At 38.8% G+C, this 23,625-nt stretch overlaps 1 long non-coding RNA gene across 3 annotated transcripts in view, besides 1 other annotated feature; it reads left to right on the top strand.

The window, feature by feature from the left end:
* The window catches only part of LOC105376214 (uncharacterized), a 401,533-nt gene that overhangs the window by 298,954 nt on the left and 78,954 nt on the right, over positions 1-23,625 (top strand). The window lies entirely within an intron of this gene.
* Positions 10,535-10,704: an enhancer, noted in NCBI's record as "experimental_104415 CRE fragment used in MPRA reporter constructs". NCBI's record gives its function as "activates a minimal promoter by MPRAs in K562 erythroleukemia cells, with activity observed for both the introgressed and non-introgressed 9:110897485 variant alleles {active_cell/tissue: K562}" and the evidence as "EXISTENCE:reporter gene assay evidence [ECO:0000049][PMID:34662402]".

Genomic DNA, 23,625 nt, shown 5'->3' with positions numbered 1-23,625 from the left:
GTTACTACCTTTATGTCCATGAGGACCCAGTGTTTAGCTCCCACGTATACAAGAGAACACACGGTATTTGGTTTCTTGTTCCTGTGTTAATTCACTTAGAATAATGGCCTCCAGCTGCACCTATGTTGCTGCTAAGGGCATGATTTCATTCTTTTTTATGGCTGCATAATATTCCATCATGTATATGTACCGCATTTTCTGTGTCCAGTACCCTGTTGATGGGCACCTAAGTTGATTCCACGTCTTTGCTAATGCTTCACCAACATTGATTGGTCTTGTTGTTATTTCTCATTTTTGGGGTTAATTTGATAGTTAAAAATGGTGTCTCTTAATGTTGAATACTGGCAGACTAAACACTAATCAAATGTTTGTTAACCAAATACTTTTCTTCCTCTTTGACATAGGTACTCATCACTTTTGGCCACTTTTATATAGGGTCATGTTTAGAAGTAAGACCTTTATAGACAGATGTATCTGGTTTTGATTTTTTCTTTCTTTTTTGGCCCAGTGGTGTGACCTTCTGCAAATAACCATTGCCTGTCTTAGCATTCTCATTTTGTGTGCATAAATAACCCAATGCCGTCGTGTGAAACTTATATGAAATGATAAATACAGAGCATCCAGGTGAATGTTTCCGCTTGGTGAGAACGGGCTAAGGCATAGCTACTAGTATGATTATGCTAATGGGTATTGGAAATTGTTTAAAAATGATTTCTGAGATGTATTTATATATATGCAGACACACACATACATCTATATATATATAAAAGTATTACACTCTTGTTTTTATTCATTGAAAATGCTTTTCTAATTTCACATTTTTCTTCTTTTGTATTTTTTTTGCAGTGTCTTTTTTTGTGACTTGTGTTATTTCTGATTTTTTGCATTTATTTTATATTTAGAAATTATTTCTGTATACAACAAACCCCTGTGACACAGGTTTACCTGTGTAACAAACCTGCACATACACCCCTGAACCTAAAATAAAAGTTTGAAGAAGTTATTTCCTGCTTTCAAGATAATTTAAATATTTACTGTAATTTTCATATTTTAATAATTGTTTTCTTTGTTTTCACATAAATCTGTAAGGCATATGGAATTTGAATTGGTAGATATGTGATATTAGGATTAAGTAAATGTTTATTTCTTTCCATATTTTTAGCCACTTTTGCTAGTATTATATGGTGAATATTATACCTTTGAATTTTGCATTGAATATTGCTACTTCCATTATTATCATATATTAAGTTCCAGATCATTGTATGATCATTCTAGAACTTTCTGTCTTGTTCCACTGGTAGATCTATCCAGTCTTGTGATAGTATAATCCTGTTTTAATGATTGCAATATTATATATCTTTCGATGGACAAACTCTCTCGTTTCTTTCTCTTGTTTTATATGTGTTCTTAGCTATTTTACTCATCTGTTCAGTCTTTTCTGAATAACTCTACAACGATGTTTTTAATGTAAAAACCTTATTACTATCATGATAAATTTATGTATTAATTTGGGAAGATCTGGCATCCTTGTTCATGCATCTCATCTGGAAACTTAAAACCTTTCTTGATTTTGTAAAATTTTCTTTTGAGTCTCTGTAAAACTCTGTGGTTTCATTTAAATAGATCACACAATTTTGTTAAAGTACTTAGGTGTATATATTAATACAAGTATAATCGATCTTTTTCCATTGTGTCTTTTAAATGGAGATTGCTGTTATGTAGAAAAGTCATCGATTTGATTTTAAATTTTATTTGGCTAATTTACTGAGCTCTCTTAGTAGTTCTATGAGTTTTTACAGCTATTTTTTCTTAGTTTTACACTATACAATCAATTATCAAATAAAGCAGGATTCTTGCTTTAGTTTTCTAAGTTTTGCTCTATTTTATTGGCTGAAGTGTAAAAAAAAAAAATGTTAATGCCACTGGTGGGCATTCTTGTCCTTTTTCCTACGGTGCTTCTGGTATTTCAACATGAGGTAGGACAAAATAGGTTTTATCCTGATGGAAGTACTCAAAGATCATTCTGATTACCTCCATTGAATATCTTTATTAGAGTTATTAGAGAAAAAATGGATATCAGTAGCCCAGAGATATGAGACACTTATGTGTAAGTGACACTTATGTGTCTCTTAAATGACACTTGAGTGGCATTTTAGCACAATGAAAAGAACAGAGGTTCTGGGGTCAGGGACACTAGGGATCTAATGCTTGTTCCAGTACTTGCCGGTATTGGAACATACACACCTACAATTTTTATTTCTTTCTGTTTAATATATAGGTAATAATATTTCTTTCTAAGGCTGTACTGGAGATTCAATAAGCTATGGGAAAAATACCTAAGACATTACCTGATAGATAATAGGTACCGATTATGAAAGACATCCTACATGCATTAACTTTCTTTTGCAAAATGTGGATTGGAAACAGGCAAAATGAATTTCAGTAAGAAAGGATAGACCTTGATGATGACCTCTATAAGCTTCAATTTCTGTCTCTATTTACATGCAAACTGGAGGATTAAAGTCTCCCCTAATAGGGAAAATTCTGTAAATTCTATGACTCTAATTACAGCCACAAAAGCACCCATTTCTCAGATTCTGTTGCAAAGTGGGTTTCAGAGCAGCCCTGGCCCCAGAGAGAGGAAAAGGAAAAGCCACAGGAAACCTGGGCAACAGTTGCAGTTTCCTCCTTGGCCCCTTCTCTGAGAGCAGTGCTGCGTGTTGTTGCAGTTGTACTGTACTGTTCTACCGCGTGGATTCATAGTTAACATTTTTCTTCCAGGCACATTTAAAACGTTTGGCTCACATCCTCCTTGAGCTGTTTTATAAGGGCAATAACCAAGGCCAGGGTGTGCTCTTGTCAGCAGGCAAAGCACGCAGTGGAGGCTGCCAAAGAGTTTCCTGCTCGGGGGCCACCCATCCTTGGCCACAGGATGCATGGCTGGAGTTCATGGCAACTTGCACAGAGCGAGTGCTGGGACTTTCTGTTCTCAGGGTTCATGCTTTGGATTCCATCCTTCAGCCCTGCTGCATTGATCAGTGGAGGCTATTGTGTTTGTGCTTGTTTGGGACTAGCTCAGAACACATGTCACAGCAGCAGTCCAAGGCCTAGCTCTAAGGCTTGGGGCTGGGAAAATGCTCTTGAAAGACTAGCAAGCTGCCCTTCCCTCCTGTTAATGCAGGCTCGGAGTTCCCATGAATCAGCTGCAGGGAGGCAGGCATTCCCTCATGCTATTCTCTGTGAATTAACTTCTGGAATGAGCAGACAGCACAGACGCCAAGTGGTGGGTTTGAGCACTGTTACCCCACCCGCTTTGAAGTCCACCTTCGCATGAGCGGATCTCTTTTCATGTATTATTTATTGCCAGGGACTTTGATAGGAAGAATCCCCAGAAGATTGCTGAAGGTTTTTTTTTTTCTTCAGAATTCCCTTTGATTAGAAGCTGTTGGCTGTGCCTTGGGCAGCTGGCTCTGTCACAAAGCAGGGGCTCAGTGCATCCTCCCAGTGATAGCTGCCATGCCAGCACCAGTGAGGTTCTGGCTGTGACATGCCTGGGACACCCTAAAGAACTACACAAGTAGAAAGGGTATCATACTCCTTCACTCACCAGAAGGGAGGCAATGAGGTCTCATGAGAGGAAAGAACAGGGGCTCAAGCCAGAGAGATGCAAGTTGAAATGTCATCTCTTCTACTGACCCACAGTATGATGTTGACCTCAGTGTTCTTATCCACTAAATGGCAATAAAAATCTTGGATTCACCACCAAACTGTTGCAGAGAATCAATAAGCCATCCAGAGGTTTTCATTTCTTTCCTCTAAATTCCAAAGCTAGTCTGGAAACTTTAAAGCAGGCTGAATGACAACTCTACACTCTCTTAATCTTCTTTATTTATTTTCTAAATTTTTATTTGTTTATCTTTTTAGAGACAGGGCCTTGCTATGTTACCCAAGCTGGAGTGCAGTGGCTATTAATAGGCTCCATCGGAGCTCATTGTAGCCTCCTGCTCCTGACTACAAGCTATCCTCTTGTCTCAGCCTTCTGAGTAGCTGGAAGTATAGATGAGTGCCACCATACCTGGCTTTTCTTCATTTTTCAATCATTCATTCAGTCAGTCAGCATTCAAGAAATAATACTAAATTAAGTAAATAAACGATTAATTAAATAAAAACATTTCAGTGGCTTTAACATTTTATGTAATGTATTAGATGCTAAGAATAAAGAAATATGTGCTCAAGACACGGTCCCTTCCCTTGTCTATCTCAAAGATCAAAAGGTTAAATGACAATAAAATGTAAAGGATGTTACGGTGCGGAAGGTTCAAGAAGAAAGAAATGCACCCAGACAAGATATTTGTACCAGTTTATGGAATGACAGAAGGCCTTCCAGAAAAAAGGAACATGTAAGCAAGTAGATTATGTCAGTCTATAGAGGATAGCATAAAATATTACAAGAATTTAGAAATAGAGACCCTTTGAGAGTGACTGGAAGTGGCCTGCCCTTACAGGTGGATAGTCCATGCTCTGCCATATAAATGAATGGAAATGTCACGTCTTGCCAAAGTATTCAGGTTCAGGTTGTGATAGTCTGTCATTAAATTCAGCCAGGTCCCACTCAACAGGACTGCCTTTATCACTTTGAAGCAAAGATAGGCTCAACCAATCATGGGCTGCCTGAAAGCCAGGAAAAGAGATAGTTGATGTAAACCCAACCAGGAAAGAGATCGGACGGACTGTGAGGCAGAATGTAGCTCATCAACCTCATTTCTTGTTCTTGGACACATAAAGGCAGCTCATTTAATAGCCTCTTCAGAGCCATGCGCCTGGGTGCTGGCCAATTGAATGTCGACAGAGTGTTGTATGACATTTCTAGCCTTGACCATGAAAGGTTTAATATAATCTTCCATGCACCGTGTCCCCCACCTGCATGGCAGATTCACACACCTGGATACCTGACTTATTGCCTGGAGGAGAGCTACCCAGTTGCATCGCCCAGCCTACACTGAACCATTATGTGAGCAAGAAATATTGACCATTATGTGAGCAAGACCTGTGAGCAGGTCTATTGTGTTAACCTGCTGAGGTTATAGAGGTGGTTTACATAGCAGCTAGCGTTACTTAACTTGGCTAATGTGTGTATCTAAACCATCTAGAACCATGACCGACTCATAGTTGACATCTAAGGTCATTAAATTGAATACATGGTAAGAGGTCATCAGTATTTGTTGTACTCTACCAAAGGCCTTGTTTGGGTGAGTGAAGGGCACAGTACCTGGTGAGCTTGAGGATTCTGGTAATCAGTTCACCGGGTCTAACTCTGGGTCAGGAAGGGTCCATATAGCTGAGAGCTACTGGAGCTATTCTGCATGCTGACCAGGTTTCTGGAAGCACATCCAACTCTCCTAACTGGAAAGAGGTATCTGGAATAGCAAAACCAATTATTTTTGCTCTTAGAAGGGTCTCTATCCCATTATAAATTTTATATTGGTAACCAATCTGCATATTCTTGTTTTATGAGTTTGGCTATTGCAGTTGATCCATCAAAGTTTGGTCACTTCGAGGTATGCTGGTGAGATTGACTTCCTGGAATTTTAAAGTTGAGGAACTGATCCTGTTAACTTCATCAAAAGAATATGCAACTGGCTAGCCGGGATTGAGTGATAAGCTGGTCTCACTTTTAGAAAATCCTTTGCTAATTACATATGAAATGATGATGATGATGATGATGATGATGATGATGATGATTGCTATCATTCATTCAGTGCTTATCAATTTCAGCTACTCTCTGTTAATCATTTTACATCATCTCATTTGATTTTTCACAATAACTCTTAGAAGTACAGTCATGTGTCCCATTATGACATTTCAGTCAATGATGGTTTGCATATGTAATGGTGGTCTTATTAACTTATAATATTGCATTTTACTGTATCTTTTCTATGCTTACATACACAAATACTTCCCATTGTGTTACAATTGCCTACTGAATTCAGTATAGTAACATGCAGTACAGGTTTGAAGCCTAGGAGCAATAGGCTATGCCATATAGCCTAGGGGTGTAGTAGGCTATACCATCTAGGTTTGTGTAAGCACACTCTATGATGTTTTCCCAATGACAAAATCACTTAAAAACATTTCTCAGGACATATCCCTGTCATTGAGTGATACATGACTGTAGTTGTCATTGCCCCTATTTTCAGATGAGGGAACTGAGGATCAGAAAAATGTGGTGACTTGCTTTAGAATACATTTCCTATAAATGTCAGAGCTAAAATTAAAACTCAACTCTCCTGGACTGCAAAGTCCAAGTTCCCTTAATCCGATCAATCATTTTCAAACTGCTCTCTGCTGAGCTGTAAGTGGCCTAAGAAGCCAATCCAGGATTGGGAGTGGAGCATGAAAGAATAGATTTCTGCCTCCTTACCCTACTTTTTACCAGAACAGAGCCTCTTCTCCTTGACTTTTTTGTTACTGATTCCACCTAACTTTTGTTTGAGCAAGGGGTTCTAGGCTAAATAAAGACTTTGAAAATCACTGCAGCATACCATAATACGTAGGAGGAAATTTTGTAGAAAATGAGTTTTATTTCTGAACACAAGGAGTGCGTTGTGATTTATGGATTCTCCTCTTCTTTTGTATCTTCTTCCACATTATCTGAAGATACTTATTCTCCCAGGAGTCTAAGCTTCTTGAGAGCAGGGACTCTGGCTAGTCATAATTTCCCCCCGCTCACCGCCAATACTAAGTAGAATACTAGGCAGACAATTGCTACCCTAGTTCACTCTCAACACTGCCTCCTAAACGATTATTTTAAAGCACGACTCTGATTATGCTACTTACCCAATGTTACTTAATATTTTTCAGGGACCATTGTTACTCCCAGAATAGACCAAAATTTCTCACCAAGGTATCCAAGTCCATTCTGACAGCATCCCAGCATCCCAGACACTTGGTTGGCTTCATTTCTTCTATACATCACATTCCAGTAATATCAAATTTCTTGCTGCACTCTGGACCTGGCATACCTTTTTGTAGCCATCTCTTTTGTGCACATGGTTGCTCTCTGCCTCAAATTCCTCCACCCCTCCCCGTGGAAATCTCTTTCTATTCATGTCACATCCCAGTAACCTCTTATGTCCTCCTCCAGGCCAATTCAAACACTCCCCTCCACATGATTGATTCCTTCTCGTTGCACTTACCTACAACTTAGCAGTTCTTGGCAGACAGAGTGGATTTGAAGGACAAGGTGGTCCCCATCCAAGAGAGAGGAAAGCAGAAGGATGGTAACAATAATGCATGCTACATGGCATTGAATGAACTACCTAATGGATTTGTTAATGTGTACAATAATTTTTTGAGATGCCCATAAATACTGAGTGTTGGGAGTGGAGGTGTTTCTCATTGTGTGTGGCAACATATAGTACCTAATAGGAATAAGAACCATTGAAATACCAGCTAAGAATGAATGATTATTTGGTGCATTAAATTAAATTCCTCAGTTGGTTTAGCTCAGTGGGAATGAAAAGTTGGATATTTACTCAGCCCCTTCCTCTGTCTGCCTGTAGTCCTGGGTCATCAGCATGTGAAGTTAATGACTGGCAAGATCTTCTAACCCTCTTCTACCTCTCCTAGAGAGATCAAAATAAACAACAACAACAAAAAGCCAACACTAGTTGGCTCCCAAACAACGTGGGAACCTACAAAACAAGACTGGGCATTGGACATATTTTGCATGCCCTCTTTCTTTGCAGGGATTCAAGCCAGTGTGGGACTCAGTGATCTTTCATGATGATAAATTGGGCATTTTCAGTGCAGGGTATCTGTTCAGCAATCTTCCTGCAATGCATAGCTGGGTATATTGTCTCATGCTGGGTAGTCCAGAGATACGTTTAAGTAAAAGGTCACTCTAGAGTTTAAATTCAATACAGGTCTAGAGAATGCAGCTCCAGTGAAATTTATTTTCAGGCAGTGGAGAGCTACTTAAGTGGCAAGAGACTGAGTTTCCTCTTGTGATTGTTTTAATGTAAAATGAGATGCTGATTACCAATGCTAACAACTGCACACTGAGAGTGGGAATAGAGCGGAGCATTGTGTTTGATGTTTGTTTGATTTGCATATGTGGCATACCAGGCCCTGCACATAACGGTCCTAATCTGCCTGAACAGGGTCGTCTTTCCTCACTCCTTCTGATTTAGTCTATGCTCTAGCACTTGGCATTGTTCAATGCAGTATGCCTTCCCTTTTACACATATGGGCTTGTGTATCTTGCTCCATTTGTCTGGAATAGTCAATCCTTTTTCTTCATGGCAAACTCCTACTCATCCTTCAAAATGCGGGTCACCTCATAAGCCATTGTCTGGGTACAACAGTCATTCTGCTTTTTCTGTGGTCTCCCATAACACTTTGAGGTCTGAAATCTTAGGCAATAACTGTATATTTTCTCAGCCAGTACCAGAGTGCCCAGCTCATAGTAAATGCACTATAAGTGTTGATTGAATTGACTTGCATTTTATCTATACAAGGGAGATGCCAAGCTATCTGTAACTCATGTGTAAATATCAGGATAAGAAATGTTGAAAAATGGTAATCATGCCAAACTCACTGAATAGATGATATCTAAGGCAATAGACTCCTAGAATATCTTTCAGTTCAGCAAACACAAGCACCCACCCTTGTGTCTGGTGATAAGGACATAACCGTAGGTAAGTCACTCTTTCTCATCTCAAGGAGTTTCTAATCTAGAAAATAAAATAGTTACATCAACAGAAAATTAGAGTAGAGTGTGCACACAATTTTATGGGGCAGAGATTTCCTAGGTGGTCTCCAAGCCAGTTTCTTCTTCTTGGATACACAAGACTACATTTTTAAGCCTCCTTTGCTGCAGTGTTGTGAATATGTATTTATAAACTCTGGCTAAAGGAACATTGGGAAAAGTGATGTACACCATTTCCAGGCTTGGTGCCCAAATTCTCCCATGAGATTCTTGACTTGCTATTTCTTCTCTAGCTGGTTATCAGACTTAAAAAATCCAGTGGAAGACTCTAAAGCCCTAAGAAATGACAGAGCCACAAATAGAAGGAAACTTGATCCCTGTATCACTATGTGGAATGCTATCTACCAAAAACCCTACTGGGCTCTGACACGAGCAATACAAAAAATCACTGTCATTTTAGTTCTTTTTTTAAGTACCTAATATATCATTTATTTATTCAAAAACTATGTACTGAAAACTTATGAAGGGTGAGGCATTGGTGGTGGGAGTGAGGAAGGAATATCAAACACAGTCTGTGATGAATAAGGAATACCTCCTTTCCTTATGATACCATTTGAAGTTTAATCACAAAGGAGTTTATCACAGGGACAAGGTGTGGAAGGAGTGTGCCAGGAAGAAGAGCAGAGATGAATGATGGCCAAAAGATCTAAGTAGATAATAGATAATAGATAATAGACTTGGGGTCTGTTGGTTCTCCTGTCTTACTCCCAGGCCTTATGGATTTCCATAGTAGGTCTCCTGAAAAATATTCTGAGGGGATAAAGATGTTTTAATATTAATCTTTCTTTGCAGTAAATGATCCCTTTGAGGGACCCTGCTAGAACCAGGACAATACCAGACTCTCCACTTCAATAACATCCTTTATTAGGGAAGGCTCTCAGGAATCCAGAAGGGCTCAGAATGACCAAACTAGATGAACAGGTGAAATTGTCAAAGCCACATTTTACAGATGGTGACACAAACTCAAAGAGAGAAAATGAGGTAACCAAATTCTCACAGAGGTTAGTTTCTTGAACTAGAGCCCAGATTCTCAGACTCCTAGCCCAGTGGTCTTTGCACTAAGTTTATTTGTGAAAAGGGATCTTTTGTCTACTTCAAGGTTGAGAAGAGCATTAAGGCTAATTTAACTTTAATTAGAAAAGGAAAGTAATGTTTGTTAAATTCCTGCTATACACCAGGCATGGGACTAAACACTCCATGCATTCTCATTGATCTTCATAGTAGTGGAGTAGGTACCATTTATTCAGTTACAAATGAGGTGCTGGAGACTCTGGGATACTACGTGCAGCTTTCTACCTTCAAGGTCTCTTAGGATCATCTCTTCATCCTTATGTTGGGCAAAGCAATGTTCTGTAATCAGCTTTTGCTTGGAGTCAGTGTCTCGTAGTTTTCCCCTAGTGATATATCAGAGGATGATAGAAACCTCACCATTTCACTGCCACTCTACTTTGTGGCATCCCATGACACAAGCCCTGGCTCTCCATGTGTTTATAAATTGTGCCTGGTGTCAGGCATAGTAATAGCCTGACATTTAATAGCCTTTAATCCTCGGAAAATTGTGTCCTGAAATTTTATTGGAGAAAATACAATTAAATCTCTTACTGGGTAGATATTCATTCTGACATACAATTTCTCTAAATTTAAATTGCAAATAGAGTATTCATATATATTAATGATTTGAAACGGAATCAAATAACTTGTTCAAAAAGACTATTGCCGCTGTCATTTATGAATAGATGCAATTTTTACCAATTTTATTGTTTTACTGGTCAACATAATAAGAAAAGTACCTGCAAATATTTAGTGTGTGTGTGTGAGAGAGTGTGTGTGAGTTGTCTGATCAGTATTATTCATCAAATTAAACTTAGTCTTGGAAGCCATTGTGTAAACACAGGAAGTAATTTTGAAATTAATTTTTTTGCATTATCATTATTTGCCAGTAGTGAATTTGAATTGTTCACACGAATGCCATATCTTACAAATAAGAAAGCTAATCATAGCTGGATGAATATTGAGGAAATGTGATAGCCTGATTATTGCCAGTATCTGTGGGTATGAGGTGCTAGAGAGTAAGAGAGTAAATATGTACAAGACCAGGTTTACGAACAAAAGTTGCAAGTCAAATAAAATGAAAAAGTTCTTCTGTGCTGGGTGGCCAAGGTGAGGTCAATATCAATATTGGCATTGGCACTGCCAAGGCCATGTTTTGCATAATGATAATTTAATCAGGACTTGTTAGTGACAAAAGGCTTATCAAACATAGAATGTTTTAATACACAGGTTGGTTTGTTTGACAAAAGCGACACCCACCTTCTTTCACAAAGCTACTGCAAAATTCATATCCGGCCTTGCAAAATTTTATGTTGACAGCAAAGACTGTGAGGTGCAAATTCATTGGACATTTGACATGCTTATTACTCATCATTAAAATAATGATGTTTCTTTTCTCAGGAAGCAAGGATGCTTATCTTTACCCCACAGAAGCAAAATATATATCAAAAATTACAACTGTAACCTGGAAGTTCAAACACAAATGTTTTGAATCTATTTTGAATCTATTGAAAATATTTTTACACACTAAGAAAAGTACATATATTGTCCTATTTCCCTAATTGGAAAACTAATATATAATAAGTTTAAAATACATACCAACTTCTTCTATTTCTTTAGGTAATTGTAATAGGCAACAGTCAGGTAAAGCCATTCAATATTAAACTTGGATTCCTGAGAGACTAGGTCAGTAGTATGTTTTATGTATGAATGTATTTATGTTATACATTATTTATTATTCATTTTAGGTATTCATTATTGATTTTATTTATGCATTCAACTTTTGCCAAATTTCCAAAGGGAGTTTTGCTCTCTCAAATTCTTTGGAGAGGAGGGAAAAAGTAGTTTTAACAAAATTCTATTCGGAGTAAATTTCTACAGGAGATGACGATATTGAGTTGAGTCTTTTGTTAACCAAGACAAAAAAGAAAATGGGATGTAACCTTACCGTCATCATTTGAATAAAAGAAAGTGTACCTTTTTATAGCATAGGTAGAGACATTTTCCAAAGCCGTAAACTAAAGGAGAAATTCATCTACTGCTTTATGTGTACGTGCATACACACACACTCTTCACTTACATAACAAAGATGGTTGTCAATGAAACCATCAGATCACCTGTGATACAGATGAGAGAAGCAATGGGTCACCTTCATGAATTATTCACAGGGCTTTCAAGGATGGTGACTGGCTACAGGAAATTGGAGGTCATTTGTAGTTTATTTCCAGGCCTAATAGATGGTGAAATCTCTTGATTAAAAGATATCATACTTCCTAAATGAATTTCTCATCCATGAAGATTGACTCTTTGTGGGAGAAGTTTCCAAATATATTAAAGTGTCACTAATAAAATGTGAAGTAGATTTCCAACCATATTCAATGCTCATTTTGTGTACACCAGGACTCTTAGTCATGTAAAAGTTCTGTTTTAGCAGAACCATAACTGCTTCCTTGGAGCCTCCACCAATTTGCTGAAGTTTTTAATCTGGACTATATCTGTTAGTTCCATTTCTTCCTCTAAACTGCAGCCCTTCACCTGTTTAGAGATGTTTGCCCTAAGTGGCAACTCCAGAATTTCACTGCAGAGAGAGTTGAGGGGTGGTCTTCTGATTGCTGAAGGGGCTGGAGAGCTTGCTGTAAATCTACCTCTATGCAGCAAGTGTGCTGTTCTGTTGTCTGCTGTGTATTGATTTATGCTGACTTGGAGGAAAAGGTGTTATATAGACTATGAGATTGATCTTTAGCCATTCCCCTCCCTAGCCAATTCCTGGTACCCTCACTGTCTATCAAAAAGACTTGGAAGTTTACAGGCAGTGCCCCTTGATCTATGGCAAACAAGTTAGAATAATTCTACTCCCAACTCTCCATCACTTAGTTACTTGCAGGGAAGAGCTAGAGCAGCACTTCTGTGTGAAGCCATCTGTGAGGGCAGTGTGCCCGCAAACCCATGTTGTATCCTACAGAAATAAGTGGATCAAGGAATCAAGGCCCCCAGGTTAAAACCAGCTATTAAACACTTATTAGGTAAAAGGGGTAGGTGGGCTGACAAATAAGGTTCTCATGACTGATGTGTGCTTCTCAGTGACCTCTTACCTGGTGCCAGCTCGATAACAACATTGAAGTTTGAGTCTAGTAGTGTAACCTCTTAGAATTATCAGGGATGCTGGCCATGGAGCATCAACATTTTCCTGAGCCTGCTATTTACTTAAAAATTCATCAAATAAGCTGTTTTAGCCTCTGAGATGAATGGCATAACTCCAGTTAGATTCTTTCTGATCTTCAAATATATTTCCTGATAAGTGCCCAAATCCATAGTCATAATATTGACAATCACAATAACAATAATTTTTTTTGTTTGTCATGTTTGGCTGCATATCAGGAATCTTGACATTTGTTCTTCAAGCATCCCCGAATGGGTGGTGTTAACACTCTGTTTTATAGCAAACAAAAACATGGTTGCAATAGGTGGCATGGCTTGTTTTCCAATGTGCAGCTGATAAATTTCTGTAGCCCTGGGAAAGCTGCAATGCCCCCACTTAAAGGGCGTCCTTGAAGGCAGGTAAAGTTCAAAGGTAGTATTTGGGTTACAGTGCTTGAGAGTAAAACTTTATGAAGGAGCAAAGAAGTTCAACTCTGAAGCCAGAAGCGGGTGAAGAGGCAAGAAGAGTCTGAGAGAGGCTGCTGCTCCTGGGAAGTGGTCCAGCCATCTGCTTGGGTCACTCTTGACTTTCTCATTCTCTTTTACTGCTCACTCCTCTCCAATCAGGTTTCACAAAATTAGACAAGGTCAGAATCTCTTGTTGTTGTGCCCTATGAAGGTCTGGGCCAAAAGACCTAGGTCAGCTCTGCTCCAGGTTTTGGGAAAAGCTCTTTGGCACTTGTATGGAGCAGCTTGCTCTTCCTGGACTGGATTTTCCTCTGCATGTGAGTGGTTCGACTCGGGGAGCTAAAGTACTGTGGTATAAGTAAAGACTCCCACCATGGCCCATTTCAAATTACCAACTTGACACCCACTGGCTAGCAAAATTCCTAAAAATTCAGCTATTGGCTCTTACAAGCCAGTACAAGTTTCTCCAGCACAGCACTGGTTAGAAAATGTCCAGAGGAGAAAGCATTCAGCTTTGTCTCTTGCCAGGCATTTTTTCACACCACTCAGTCTAGCTCACCAGCGACTGACTATGTAGATATTTAGGGTCAAAGCGCACAGTTACAAGGAGAGCACGTGGTTTTGGCTTTATCCTTGGTACATTTATTTCCCTTAGAAATTACAAGGACACCAATGGGTGACACATCAAAATAGAATGTCCAGAATATTCTGGTATTCTGATAATTCTCACTCTCCCAACAAACAAATGTGTGCGTATATGCACATATACTCACAAACATAAACGTCCCCACTGTATGAAGACGATTTATAAGCTCTCACCTAAGCAGTGCAAATGTTTAAGAGGTTGGACTTTGTAATGAAATAGACATAAATTTGATTCCCAGTCTCTTTCCTGTAGACAAGTTGCTTAAACTCTAAGTGTCTTATCTGTAAATTTGGGGTATTAATAAATAAATACCTGATAAGGTTGTTCTAAAGATTAAATTAGATAATAGTGGTTTAAGGCTTACTAACATCCAATTTTTATGCAGTTTCTATTTTCTCTATACCTGACTCAGTAAATTCTCAACTGGCGTCAACATCTTGCCTCCCTGTTCTTTGTGGATACCTGGCGGATAAGTTGCCAGTAAGTACGTGAAGGCAGGGTGACATTTATTTGGTTCCTGTTTAAACTGATTGATATGGGTGATGATAATCTTGGGCATTTTTATTTAAATAGTTTTCCCACATGTTCAAATAATATACTTGTCACCTCTTACAGTCCTGGGAACAGATCTTATCTTCTTTGTCACAAAATGGCACCTGCCTGAGTAAACACAAACAGGAATGGAGAGGCTGAGCCCTTGCTCACCATTTGAAACCTGATTCAGAAAGGCAAACAGACAATATGGCTGCTGGGCTTAGCCTTCCAGAGCAATTTTAATCACAAAAGCCATGATATAGAAATCTCTAAAATGCAAATAAAACATTGTTAAATTGACAGAAGGGCTATTTTAAATCCTTAAAGAGCAAGAGGGCTGGTGAATATGAATATTTAGAAAGTAAAATAGTCTCTAAGAACCAAGGGTAGATAGAGGTCAACATCTTACTTTCTCTACAACTTGATAAATTCCTTTTTTACAAATTTAAATTTTATTTTTATCGATGTGATTTACACGCATAGCTTAAAGAATCAAATTATTCAATGAGACAAGTGCATTCAGTTCTTTCAGCTCGTGCTTTCCATATCTGCCTCCATATCCTCTAAATAATATGCTTATAATATTCCTTCTTAATTTGTATTTTAGTTTAGGGATTATAAATTAACTTCCCAGCATGGGAAATGAGGATTTGGCTCTCTTTCACCCTCTGCTCCACTTAACCCAGGCAAGCTTTTGTTCACCGGGTCCCACGAGATAGCTATGTTTTCACTGTGGCTCAGTTTTCAATATTTATATTACAATGATTATATAAGTGTTATTTGCAGTTGATTGTGTAGTATATTTCCTTCCCTGCACAGTCCACTCATTTTCCAAAAGATTTTTCTTTTGCTTAGTTTTTCTAGTACATATCGCTAATTTTTCCCCAAATTCTTCCCAAGTTGTGAAAAACCTCCTTTTAATACATTCAAATACATTAGGTAATTACTGATTTCCTCTTGAAGAAATACCCACAGAGCCTCCTGAACTGGTCTTAGGCAGAGAGATTGTTCTCTAGACCTCTTGGGTGACTGACACTTTGGAATCTTCCTTTGTCATTATCTTGGGGACTCATTTGTGCATATTCTGCGTTGGATCCCCCGTTCCCTGGATTCCACTTTTGTCTTGGTTTTCCCCCTCTCAGTATGTGATTTCTCAAATCGCTTCCTAAATGAGGTTATCTGATAAGTAATTTTTTGAGAACTTTTAAGTTGAAAAGATTTTTATGTTACTATCCCACTTAATGAATGGCTTGGCCAGATATAACATTCTCAGCTTGAAGAATCCATTTTGAATAATACATTGTTCAATTTTCTCCTAGCTTTTAGGGGAGGCTTTGAAAAGTCTATTACCTTTCTGGTTTTTGATTCTTTGTATGGAAACATCCTTTTTTCCCCTTTTTGTGAAAGACTTTAGAGATTTCTTTGTGCCCAGTGATCTATAGTTTTATAATGATGTGTTTTGATGTGCGTCTATTTTCATTCATTGTGCTGAATCCACTTAACCTGAAAACTCCATCCTTCAATTCTGAACATTTTTTTCCATTTCTTTAATAATGTCTTACCCCCTGTTTTATAGATTCTCTTTTTCCTGAACTTTATATTTTCAGATGTTATACCTTCTGATATGGTTCATTTATTTTCTTCTATTTTTCATCTTTTTTTTGTATTTTTTTGGATTATTTCCTCAGATTTATCTGGAAATCCTCCCACTTACTGTTTTCACTTCAGCTCTCATTTTTAACCTTTCATCCAATGTTCCTTTCCTGCATAATACTATTCTTCTTTCACCAACACAAATTTTTCTCTCATCTCTTGGAGCATATTTATAATAGTTTTTAGAAATTTTCATCTTCCTGCTTAGGCTGTGTTTCTTGTTTGTCTGTTCTTTTTGGTCTCTGGATTTCAAAATACTTTCTTCGAGTATCTCATATTTAAGCGTAGGACACCAGAAAGCTCTGTGTACAGAGGACTGTCCATGGGCTTCGGTATAGGATTATCTCGCTAAGCCATTTCATACCGCAATGTCAGAATTTTTTCCTCGTGGAATGATCAGATTCCCCAGAAAAAGTCTCCTCCAGCCTCTACCTTGAGGGTATAAGCCTGGATGCCTGTATCCTGGAGGTTGTGTGAGGAGAAAGTCTGTTTATTTAGTACGTGGTATGTACACATTTGATCACCCCCTTTTTAATTCAATACCCCTTTTTCACGGGGCATGGACCCACTTTTCAACTCTGCTCAGTATTCTGCGATCTCAAGATCTGCTGTTTTACTCTCTTTAGAGAAAGAAACCTGCAATATGCCAGGATAGTCACTTTGCTGCTGGTAAAAGGTAAGGGGTCTCATAGATTTCTAAATACACTTTCAACCAATTCTCCTACTTGGACCTCTCTTTTCAGAGGTACCTAATGCTACCCAGCCTGGGGATTCTGCGGTGGCTTCTGAGTAAATATAGAAGTCTATATTTACTTTTTTTTTTTTTTTTTGCTTATATTTGGCTCATATTTCTCTTGCTTATATTTGAATTATAAGATTTTGAATTATAATTATGCTTTACTAGTTCTGCTAATTCATTTCCCATCTGCTTTCCATCTTCCAAAAAGCTCTGTTTTCTTCTGATTTCTTTATCCTTCTGGGTTTCTGTCTTTATTTTTTAGTCCTTAAACTATTGTTCAAATGGAGTTTTGAGACAGAACTAGAGGAAAATGCATGTGTACAATTCATAACCTTTAACTGAAAGTCTATATATTTATTTTTCAACATGATTTATCCTCAGTTGCACTCACTGTATTTTTCACCTCTTTTTTTTTTTTGAGACTGAGTCTCGCACTGTCGCCCAGGCTGGAGTGCAGTGGCGCGATCTTGGCTCACTGCAAGCTCCGCCTCCCAGGTTCACGCCATTCTCCTGCCTCAGTCTCCCCAGTAGCTGGGACTACAGGTGACCACCACCACTCCCGGCTAATTTTTTGTATTTTTAGTAGAGACGGGGTTTTACCATGTTAGCCAGGATGGTCTCGATCTCCTGACCTCGTGGTCTGCCCGCCACGGCCTCCCAAAGTGCTGGGATTACAGGCGTGAGCCACCGTGCCCGGCCCTCACCTTTTTATTACTCTTTGTCCACTTTGTCTATTCTTTATCTTTTTTTTTTTTTTTTTTTTTTGAGACAGAGTCGCACTCTCTTTGTTGCCCAGGCTGGCATGTAGTGGCATGATCTCGGCTCACTGTAGCCTCAACCTCTTGGGTTCAAGTGATTCCTCTGTCTCAGCTTCCCAAGTAGCTGGGACCACAGGCGCGTTCCACCACACTCCACCAATTTTTGTATTTTTAGCAGAAATGGGATTTCACCATGTATGCCAGGCTGGTCTCGAAGTCCTGGCCTCAAGTGATCCACCTGCCTCGGCCTCCCAAAATGCTGATTACAAACGCAAACCACTGCACCTAGCCTTTTTTTTTTTTATTCTTTGTCTTTAATGTCTAATTAAACCTCATATACAAAATAGCTATTACTAGTCAGATACTGTTCCTAGCGTTGTGGATACAGCAATATAAGAATAAAACTCTCGCAAGAAATTTTTGTGGTGATAAGAAGAAAGTCATGAGATACTTGGAAGCGGTCATTCTACTGAATTTAAATCTATTTGTGTTTTTCTCTACTTTCCCATCACCCTTTTGGTTAATCTAAAATTGCCAAAATGTTTGTAGAAAGCTGCATATGTAACCAATAAGTTGAAGACAGTATAGCATATGCAGTAATAAATGCAATTAGAAATGAATTATTCCTTCTTCAGATCAAGGAAAACCGCCTAGAGATGGTGGCAGCTGGGCTATTTTGAAGAATAATTAGAAGTTGGCCAGGTTCTTCCCATTATAATCTCACACAATCAAGTTGTCAGTTAGCTTCCTTATTATGCTATAAGCATATTAATGCAGAGAAAGTGTTTATGTCACTTCCTGAATACATAATGCATAGCATGGCACCTGGCACAGAGTAGAAGCCCAGTGGATAGTGAATGAGTTAAACATATAGAAGAAACAGAAATTTGAATTAAATCTATATTGCTCTCAGAACTTTCCCTGAATTAAATAGATAAGAAAATACAACCAATGGTATAACCTGATTTTCCTATGACAATTTTGATTAATTAGGTCTAGTTATTTACTGTTTTATTCTTTTCTAATGAAATAATATTTTAAACTCATATTTACTTTTCAAAACTACCTGGCACGGGTCTACTAGCTTGACTGGAATAGACTGCACTTGATAAAACCTTGTAAGAAACTCAATTATTTCTCTCCATCCAAAATGATCCAATTATTGTAGTTTTCAGTCAATTATTAGGTTGGTGCAAAAAAGTAATTGTGGTTTTGGCCATTTCTTTCAATAGCACTTTTATATTTGTAGTCCTTTGTTGCAAACAAAGATAAAAAGAGAAAGCCCTTGCTTGACAGAAGGGCTTGTGTTACTAGGAAAGTGAATACGTAACTAACAATTTTAAGATAGTATAACATAACCACTAATAAATGCAATTAGAGCATATTACTATAAAAGTAATTGTCATTACTTTTTTTTTTTTTTTTGAGTCGGAGCCTTGCTCTGTTGCCCAGGCTGGAGTGCAGTGGCGTGATCTCGGCTCACTGCAACCTCCGCCTCTCTGGTTCAAGCGATTCTCCTGCCTCAGCCTACCAAGTAGTTGGGGTAACAGATGCGCGCCACCACACCCGGCTAATTTTTGTATTTTTAGTAGAGACGGGGTTTCTCCATGTTGGCCAGGCTGGTCTGGAACTCCTGACCTCAGGTGATCTGCCTGCCTTGGCCTCCCAAACTGCTGGGATTATAGGCATGAGCCACCGCGCCCAGCCTGCCATTACTTTTAATAGCAAAAAACACAATTACTTTTTTGCACCAACCTAATAAAAATTTAGTGGTTTAATCCAAGATTCAGAACTGACCTCAGTGCAAAGTTTGAGAAATAACACTAGAAGTCGAGACTGTGGTATTCTAGGTAACTCAACAAGAGCCTGCGTTGGAAACCTTGGTTTCCTGGCTAATGAGACACACATACAAGCCGAAAACACCTGCTGAGGTTGCTCGTTTATAAAAAGAATTGTTGATCTGGAATGAAGCTTCTTGTACTCATTTATACTCATATTCGTATCCCAGATTTTTTGAAGACATCAGAAGCATCAGTTGAAGATTCCTGCATCCACATATGGGACTCAGAATTGATGCATGCTGCTATACTGTTAATTTAAATATAAATATCTACAACAAGTAGTCAACAGTCAATGGGGCTCTGATGCCAACTTCCAATTCCTCCTCCTAGAAACTTTGAAGTGCTCCAAAATGCAGAAGTGCGTTTAAGAAGAATAGTTCTGTTTAGGTTTAGCCAGGATTTCTCTCTTTCACACTATTAGGTCTTGATGATCCTCTTTTAAAGAGGTCCAAAAAAAGTGTGCGTACAGGCTCGCAGGTGCCCCCTATGGGTGAGACAGGCAGTCTCACTGTCACTACAGACTCCATTGGTCCCCCTTCACTACTTGGACTCCAAAGGCGTTTAACTTTTTCATCTCTTATTATTGGACTCTTTGCCCCTTATGTTTGTATGATCTGCCCGATACCCAGGACATTCATTAATCATTCAATTTTTTAAAATAATTTTGTTTAATGCCAAATTGTGTCACTGGTCAGCAGCATAAGCACAGCACACACTGCAAAGCACAGCAGCCTGGGCTGTGGGTTTGAATCCCAGTGACACAGCTAAGAGACCTTAGGAGGTAGGTTACTTAGCCTGTGACTTCAATTTTGTCTCAGAACTTGATATCATGTCTAATTTTTGTAAATCAGAAATAACACATGTAAATCAGAAAAAAAAATTGTAATTTTCAGTCTAATTTTTGTCAATCAGAAATAACATATCCAACTTGTCAGTTCTAAAGACTGAATGAGATTATTCATGGATGGACCTATAGCATAGGCAGTAAATATTGGTTCCTTTCCCCCTTTTTCCTCCTTCTACTGTTGTTGTCATCATCATTATTATTGTCATTATTATATTATTTTGTAGTTGTCTTGTCCTAGGTATAGGAGATCTAAAAAAATTGAACAAGACAAGATGTTTGAACTTGAAGAACTCACACTTCAATAGTAAAGAGATACAAACAGTATAACAAGTGGAATAAGAGACGCATTTCAGGACTTACAGGAGCAAACTCATAGGAGAGGAAGGGAAAGTAGGAAGAGTCAGAGGAGCCACTGCTCAGATAATATCTCAGAATTGGAATCTTGTTTTGGGACAATGAATGGGGTGTACGTGCTGGACTCAATATCAGGCTTTTAAAATATGCTCTGTCTTGTCTATCTATGTGGTCACAGTTGAATGTCTTAAAAAAACTGCTTTTATCTCAACATGTTAAAAGTAGTATGTGTTATTTATAATGTTTAGGAAAATATGGAGAAGTAAAAGGAGCAGAAAAACCGAGTTATGTTTTCCACTCTTATTCTTTAGTATATTTCTTTTCAGTCTTTTTTTTTTTTCATGCATGGTGTTTTTTGTTTGGTTTGGGCCATAATTTATGGAAGAGCTGCTTTAAATCCACTACCTCAGTCCACAGTTGGTGATCATAGAGTGACTTGTCCCCTAGTGCTCTGTCTCAGTTACCGGTGACAAAAAGGAGGTGCTTTGGTGAAATAGTAACACTATCCCATTCCCATTTCCTGGCTGGGATACACAGGAAATGCATATAGTGCACCACTGGGCTATTACTAGAGATGAATGGGATCTGAGTGCTGTGAACTGCCTTTGCATAGTAGCAAGAGTTTGTTTCCAGATACAGGGCCCCAGGTGCTTTCCTTCTACCCGGCTTTCCTTCTGTGGTCCTGGAGCCCACGTCTAGAGTTATTTAAGAAGAGAGAGAGAGAGAATATTTTTGCAATAATATAGTTTGTCCAAAAATGTAGACTAATTCCTCCCTCTGTCGTTTCCAAACAGACAGCTTTGAAAATAATTTGTTTTTTACCTAAGTATTATATAAGCTCAAGGAAGGAACGACAAAAGGAAGAGATTAACCGAGCATTTACCACAGACTCTTCCTGTGCTGGCACATTCACACTTTATCTCCTAGAATCCTCACCATAGTCCTGGAAGACAGACCCTGGATTACAGACGGGTAAACTGAGGCTCCAGAAATTTAAATTTTTTTTAGAAGCTCATGTGATTAGAAAGTGGCAGAACTGCGATTCTGACCCCCCAGGATAAGATCAGATTTCCCTAATAAACATTCTTGGAGCTGTGTATGCTTCCACTTAGCCTATTTGCAAGATTAAATGCAATTGTATTGTTATTATTTGAAATTGATTAATCCCTTCCTTCCCTCCTTGAGGCCCTGAATTCTAATCTTAGCTGATTTACTGTTGTAAATCCAGCACAAAGTAAGGAGTATGAAAAAAGGAAAAGCTAAAGTTCAGTAAATAGCTTTTCAATATATGAATGAATAAGTGAATAAAATCCAGGTGTCTTTAATTTCCAAATTAGAGATTTCCAAGTTCTTAGAGAGTACACTTCTTCAGTTACCTGGAAACTGCATTCAAGCTGAGTAGAGGCAGAATGTCCTTCTACTACAAAGGAATAATCAAGGTCTACCTGTTTACATTTATCCTCATTTAAGCTAGGAAACTGGAACTTTCCCCCAACTCTAATGAAATTATAGAAAATAGAATTTGTGACAAAAATCAAGGGTGTTAAAATAATAAAATCTGGGTAGGACCAAAGGCAGCCCTTCAATGCTCTTTTCCCTAAATGTTCAAACATGAGTATGACAGGAATGTCTTCATTTAACATCTAAATTTTCAGGAGACTACTTCCTGGGATAGGGCAGAAGGAGAGAAATCAGAGATGGACACTGGATGAAAAACATCAAGCCCCAGTCTAGGAGACCTGAAGATTTGTAGCACAAAGTATTTAGAAACATCTTACTTCGACCAAAGCAGTGCCCTGTGAAGTGTTCACTTTTAAATGAATCTCGTATTTCAACAGAAGCCAAATGATCCTTCACTCTGTTTTTGAAACTTCCAGCAGTCAGTCAGTTACACTCTGAAGTGAGGCCCAGTTGCAGATGCAAAGGCATCATTTCCACCCGGTATGGGGTAAACGCATCTGATAGCAATAACCTAAGCAAACACTTAGAATGACCCTGTATGGCAGACGCATGTGAATGTGTGTTCTGAGCTAGGGAATCTGGAAGTGGCCAACTCAAAGATGTATTCCTTGTCTATGAGAAACATCTGAGCTGCACCCCATCCTGTGGAACATGGGGCTGTAAGGGGATTGAGGCACTGAGTTTCGGATTAAGTAAAGGTTGCTAGATGGAGGTCATTATGGGGAGGGTGTTAAGTGAAAACGCTCTATAAACCGGATGATGTTTGCAGGTGATTGCAGTTTTTCTGCCCAGCCCACTGCCACTGGGCTATGCGGTTATCTTGTCCAACTCACACCACTGTGTTACAGGTAGAGGGTCTTGACTTAAGTTGTCCAGGTTCTTTGCATTTTGAGCAAAGAATTGGACAAAACGTGCAGCAAAGCAAGGAAAGAATGAGTCAATGAAAGACAGCAAGCAGGGATTTATTGAAAATGAAAGTACACTCCACAGTGTGTGAGCGGGCCAAGCAGCAGCAGCTCAAGGGCCCGGATGCAGAATCTTCTCAGGTCCAAATACTCCCTAGAGATTTCCCATTGGCCACCTCATGCTCACCTCATGTAAATGAAGTGGTGGCCTGCAATCAGTCTGATTGGTTGCAGAAAGCAACCAGCCAGAGGATGAAGTGGAATTACAAAGGTCACACTCCTGTGCAAACATCTGATTGGTTGATTTTTGCAATCAGAGGCTAAGGTGAAGTTACAAAGTTGTACTTCTATGCAAAGGAAGACTCAGTCCACAATAAGTCAGCTTGGTTGTGCAAGCCAATTTCCCATCTGCCACACAGAAAAGGTGGGGGATTTGCAAAGGGAGTAGCCTCTGGTCTTTT

This window comes from Homo sapiens, chromosome 9 (genome assembly GCF_000001405.40).
Source record: "Homo sapiens chromosome 9, GRCh38.p14 Primary Assembly".
Classification (NCBI taxonomy): Eukaryota; Metazoa; Chordata; class Mammalia; order Primates; family Hominidae; genus Homo; species Homo sapiens.
This window is presented reverse-complemented; position numbering and strand designations above follow the sequence as displayed.